Source organism: Homo sapiens, chromosome 5 (assembly GCF_000001405.40).
Source record: "Homo sapiens chromosome 5, GRCh38.p14 Primary Assembly".
NCBI lineage: Eukaryota > Metazoa > Chordata > Mammalia > Primates > Hominidae > Homo > Homo sapiens.
In genome coordinates, this window is record NC_000005.10 from 147,504,727 (window position 1) to 147,511,136 (window position 6,410).

The 6,410-nt window shown below is 44.6% G+C and overlaps 1 protein-coding gene across 1 annotated transcript in view; it reads right to left on the reverse strand.

Annotated features, from left to right (window-relative positions):
* DPYSL3 (dihydropyrimidinase like 3) overlaps positions 1-5,342 on the reverse strand; it is a 119,261-nt gene extending 113,919 nt beyond the window's left edge. Inside the window, exon 1 of the mRNA NM_001197294.2 lies at positions 4,752-5,342. Coding sequence (NP_001184223.1) covers positions 4,752-5,132 — 381 coding nt within the window. The 5' untranslated portion in view covers positions 5,133-5,342. The remainder of the gene's footprint in view (positions 1-4,751) is intronic.
* Between the last annotated feature and the right edge of the window lie 1,068 nt (positions 5,343-6,410).

Genomic DNA, 6,410 nt, shown 5'->3' on the forward strand with positions numbered 1-6,410 from the left:
GCCCTTGCCAACTTCATGAAGGAAACATCTTGCACAAAAGAGGCCCACATGGGAAGAAGGAAACTAGAAATGACCCAAGACTCCTGATAGAAAGTTATCAATAAAAACCCCTGTAATCATAATGTCATTACTTTGTTTTTGCTGGATGACAGAGTCCTTATGATATAATTTGCTCTTGGCAGGCCATATCATAATTGTCTTCCTCTTAGTAACTATTTTACTGCTAGGAAAATTCAGTGTGCATGGAAAAGCATCTTGAGAAATGATGAAAAATAAATACTTTTCACTTAGAATTGCTTTTCTATGCACTTAGTATCAAAAATTATAAATGAAAAGTTGTGTAAGCCAACCATAGAGGATTTTAGTAACATGAATGCCGAGGATTTTAGTAACATGAATGCCTATTATGAGAAAACTCTAAATACACAATTTAAGAAGGTGTTTATAGATAGGTTTGGAACCACTATATTAGCATCTAGTGATAACTCAAACCTGGAATTTGACACTCAGAGACGTTTTTTTTTTTGAGACGGAGTCTCACTGTGTTGCCCAGGCTGGAGTGCCATGGCGTGATCTTGGCTCACTGCAACCTCCACCTCCCGGGTTCAAGCGATTCTCCTGCCTCAGCCTCCCAAGTAGCTAGGATTACAGGTGCCCACCACCACGCCCAGCTAATCTCTGTATTTTTAGTAGAGACGGGGGTTTCACCATGTTGGCTAGGCTGTTCTCAAACTCCTGACCTCAAGTGATCTGCCCAGCTTGGCTTCTCAAAGTGCTGAGATTACAGGCGTGAGCCACCACTCCCAGCCTATTATTTTATATTTTTATTCTGTAAACACTTCTGTTATTTAACCTCATTACAATTTATTAAATAAACTCATTTTGTTAAGATAGAAGTTAATAATTAGGTATGCTAGATACAAAGCATATTTTGATTTTACCAAGACACTTAAAATATCTTTTGATAGCTCTGCAATCAACTTGAAAGAATAAGGATTTTGCAGCAACTGTTCTCCAAGGTTGAACAACTGGTCTCAAAGTTTCCTGTGTAATGGGCTGGTGGCACAATAGAAGAAGGGTTCTAGAGGTGTGGCAGGAAAATCTGTCCTTGCTCTGAATAATATTGACATGTCAGGAGCTGACACGACGGCCAGGCTGGTCATATTAAAATAAGGAAGCAGCCTCCCCACCTGGAAAGAACACAGACTCTGGAATCAGAAAAATCAGATTGTGAATTCTGGCTCCCCCCACTTATTATTTATGTGATTTGGGACTAAACAATTAGTCTCTGGGGTTCAATTTCCTTATCGGTTATAACCATTTTCTGTGAGGAAACGACCTTTTGAGCACTATTTAGTATAGGCACACAGAAAGTGTTCAAAAGGTGATACTATCAAATCAACAAATGGTACAAAGCTGGCAGTAGGAGTGCTGTATTATAGAATTAAGGTTTAAGATTATTATGATATAATAGAAAGATGAGCTAAGATAGTGATAAATATTATAGAAGGAAGAAAAAATAAAATCCTATAGTTAAGATTTTTTTGGGGGTGGTTTGTTTTAAATTAAATTGTACCAGCATAGAAGGGGAACATCCTGGCCTAACAGCAGCTTACGTGAAAAAAGTTTCTGAAAGCTTGAATGGCAGGGTGTTTGCCATGGAGACAATAGTAAGTCATAGATGCATATGTTCCGTAAAAGTCCAAAAAATTAAGTAACATAATGCACTTCGCCATGGTCATATCCCATCTGAAGCAACATATTCAGTTCTGGGCACTGTATTTTGAGAAAAATATTTACAAAATATGTAATATAATATAACCTGAAAAGGAAATCAGGATGGTAAAATGCTCATACAAGAGAAGACTGAAGAAGCTAGGAATAATAAGGGTAAGAAAGAAATTTAGGGAGAATGAGATAATTGCCCTCATACATGTAACGGGCATTAAAATTGAAGAGTAATAGTAATAACTAATATGTACTGAATACTACTGTGCAAAGTAGTCACCATTATCCTTATTTTGTACAGGAGAAAACTGAGGTACCCAGAGGCTAAGTTACATGCTTACAGTCATATAACTAGTAAAGGTTGGGACAGATTTCACTCCATTAATTCATCTCTAGATCTGGGAGAGATATTAGAGCTATTTGCCAAATATTTCTAGTCTTACAGGATCATGGCAAGATTGTATTCCACCAGTTGCTTTGAAGCTGAGTATAGACATGGTTTTCGGCCAATGAAATGTGAGCACACATCATGTTCATTACTTCAGCAAGGAATTAAGTGTGTATACAATTTGCCACATACTATACACAGATGTGTAGAGATGGAGCCTCCATCAAGTTAGGCACAATAATGAATAGAGCTTCCCTGTTGACTCACACTGGACAAATAGGAGCAAGAAATATGTTGTTATGTTTTTTATTAAGCTGCTGAGAGTTGGGGGTTGTTTGTTACTATGGCATCACCCAGCCTTTTCTGACAGATACAAGAGTGCACATACCTAAAAATCATTAAAATGTCTCATAATAAGGAAATATATTTACCCTTATATTTCCAAAGGTCAGAACTAAGAATAATTTGTAGAAACTACAGGTAGGTAGATTTGGGCTTAATTTTTTTTTTTTTTTAAGTAAAGTTGTCCAAAAAGTTGCTTCATGAGGTAGTGAGCTCCCTGACAATGGTTGTATTTAAGCAGAGGCCAGATGATCATTTTGCCAGCTATGTGGCAAAACAGATGGTTTAATTAAGGAGGTTTAGTGTATCAAACATTTATTGAGCACCTCCAATGTGCCAAGCATTCTAGCCACATAGATAAATCCAAATACACAATCTCTACCCTCAAGGAAATAAACAACAAGTTCAGAACTTGATAACCTCCGTGGTCTCTTCTAACAGTGTGATTCAACCAAATTAGAGATAATAACATGGCCTGGATGAAGCAGATGGCAAGCCCAAACTTACAAATGACTATGTAGCACTAGAAATCCTGCTGATGCCTAGGTTGTATTATTATTTCTCAATTAGTAGCCAAAAGTATAGGGTTTGCAAAAGGGAGGAAAACGGGAGAATTGCTAGGTTTAAAGGAGGAATATTTTCCCTTTCTCTAGTTACCATTCTTAAATCTTGCAAACCCAGCATATTATCTGGCTTACATCAGGGGTGTTTCAGCAAAGGGAATAGCACTGACTCACAGCAATTGTTACCGACCTTTTCCATCACTACTCCCGCCCGTTCCAGTCAGGAAGGGAACATTTCAATATGGACAAGTCAGACATGAAGAAAGGAATAACCTTTCTATAGGGTTCTTCTTCAGTTTAGATATCAACCAAAACATTTGCAAAATATCAGAAGTTTTCCCTAAAACGTTGGTAAGCAAGGGCTTAGGGGAATCACGCACTAAAAGGATGATGTGAAAATCACAAACTAAATGAATGATTTCAGAGGAAGCCGACATTGTTTTCCAAGTGGTACCCTTGAACAGCACTAACTTCAGCACTTATTTTCCCTGGTGGTCTTAGTAGTCAAAGGTTGGTTGGTTGGTTTGTCTAAACTTTCAAAAATCAAACAGTGAACAGAGATGCTGTTCTTTCACTAGCTCATTGCATTTTAATGGAAAAACAACTAAAACCTGAATAAGCATTAACTGTAATTGCTCTGAGGCAGACATTTCCATTTCAGGTTGTTATTCCTAACCATATTAGTGCAGAATAATACATGCGGATGGATTTTGCGGCCATTACCTAGACAAGGGTGAGGGCATCTGATTATTATTATTCCCCAACTGAAAGCTTCAGTTTGAACTCTGAAGTCTCCAGCCCTGCCAGGCCCTGCATTTTCTGAACTACATCTCTGAGTCTCTGTGAAATAGACACATAAATCAGGGCAAGCTAGATTTCAATGCCATCCCTTCAGTCAGTTCAGTGTGACATAAGTTTCTCAAAAATACACATACAGAAGAAATTGGCTTTGGCACATTTAAGAGCAGCAGGGAATTTGCATCTCATGCTAGTTTAATGTGCACTCTTAATACTCTCGTCTATTTTCTAAAATATAATGCTATTCTTGCAGAGGCAGCTGGACCCCTGTAATACCCAGTCTTGTGCCAAGCTATGTACACAAATACACTCTTTACAAACACAGATGTGAAATGCCGTGCTAAGACACAAGCGAGGCATAGAGAGAGATTCGCGTGTTTAGTCTAGAGGCTCCACACCCAAAAGTTTCAGGGACAGAGCTGATGTTTGAAGACTGAGAGGGGAGACCGCCCCTCCAGTACTTTCATCCGGGCACTATGGAGATGACCCCCATATTCCCAGCATCACTTTGCCCTCTGCCGTGGTGACCCGGGTTGAGATTTAATCTAGGGCCAGAGGGGGGCAAGACAATTGTGCTGTTGGCTACTAGAGAGAAGAGCTGGAAATCACTAAGCCTTCCCGGGCTGACACACCCACCCAGACCGGATGGCCCAGGAGTGCGGCGAGGAGGCAGGGGCAAAGGACGCGGCTCCAGGCAGGGGAACCCGGGCATCCCTTCCGCGCTTGCACGAAGATGCTGCAAGTGGCGACACGCGCGAATCCAGGGTCTGGGCTAGGAAGTCGCGCTACGCTCAGTGGAGGATGACCCTTTCCTCCTCCTTGTCCCCCAGCCCCGTGCAAAGTGAGCTGGAGAAAGTTGTGCCCGGGCCATGGCGGCCAGGGCTGGAGAAAGGAACGAAGGCAAGGAGGGAAGTGACCCGGGGCCCCCTTACCTTGTCCTTGGGGCCGAGGTTCTGCAACACCTCTTTGCCGGTGGCGCTCCGGATCTCTACCCCGGCGGGGGCGGGGGAGGCGGGCGCGGGCTCCCTGCTCTCTTCCCGGCCTTGGCCCCTGCGCGGGGTGTCCCCCTCGATCCCGGGCCGACTCCCCGATCCTCGGTCGCTGCCCTGGCCGCTCCGAGGAGTCTTCGCGCCCCGCTGCCCCACGCTGAGGGCATCGAAATCCAGCGTCTTGCTCTCGAAGGCGCCCTCCACGTTGCAGAACATGCCGCCGTATTTCTGCCGCGGGACCTGGTCCGTGGTGCCCGGCCTGGCCAGGTACACGGGCAGATCGTCTTCGTGGGAGCTGTCCCAGCCCCTCCGGCCCGAGGCCATGGTTCAAGCACGAAAGCGGCCCGCGGGTTTTTCTTCCCCAGAGGCGGAAAGGGCAGCCGCCGGCAGCGTGCGCCGAGCCACAGTGACTGTGGCGGGAGGAGGCGCCTGAGCCTTCGCGCCAGAGGCGGCAGTGCTGCTCCGATTCCTGCTTGTCCCTAGCGAGCCAGCGAGCCACACAGCCAGCTAGCGCGCGGAGCAGGGGCCCAGAGTAGCGCCGCGCTTGGCTCACTCGCTGGACCTCTCGCCCGGCCGCACCTCCTCACGCACCCCCAACCCTAACGTGGCCTCCCGGGCTGACGCAGCGTCGGTGCCCATCACAATCACAAACCAAACTTGGCGCGCGCGCACACGCACACACAGGCGCACACTGCCCGCTCGCGCAACAGCCTTGCCTCACACACTTTCGCGCAATTTAGACGTCTTAGAAATGTTCACACTCCAGCACTTGACTGCTTCACCCACACTAACTCCCTAGTTTGCCTCACAAACACAAAGCTTTCTGACGTCCCTCGTGCACAAAAACCCAGCTGACCCAGGTGGATTCATCTCAAAGCCAAGTCCTGATTTACAACTAACACATACAAACTCAAATTTACGACAGACTCACAATCCTACCCGGAACCCCGGACTTGCCTCATCCTGATCTTTAGGATGACACTCATAACTACACCCAGTTCTAGAATCTGCCTTGCAAACCCACACTCTCACATGAAGTCCTGAATTGGCTTACACACACAACACAAACACACACTGAGAGAGAAGCCCTCTTACTTCATTGAGAGTCACAAAAGCCCTTTGGCTCACATAAGCCCTTTCTTAGCTTCTATATAATATCCTAGTTTGCTTTTTACCACCCCTAATTTGCCTCATTTCAGATCACACACACACACACACACACACACACACATTCTTAGGTTTTGCCTTGCAAAGCACTCTTCATTGATGCTCTGTCCCTCATACAACAAACCCCAGATTTTAATCTCACACACTGACACAAGTCCAGGTTTACCTCAGTCGGAACCGACACTTAGATTCACACCTAAGCCCAGATTTACTTCAAAAATCACACAACCAAAGACTTTGCTTTTCATGTTACCTCAGATGTATGCAGACTTTACTTATGTACATCTGTGCTTTCATAACCTCATTCTCTTCCCCACGTCCACCCACGTATACTCTGACGCCGACTCTGCCACATAAACAGAACCTGCAAACTACATACCTTACATCATATCTGCACACACCACCTAAACCCAAAACCTGTTGTGCCGGATTTAA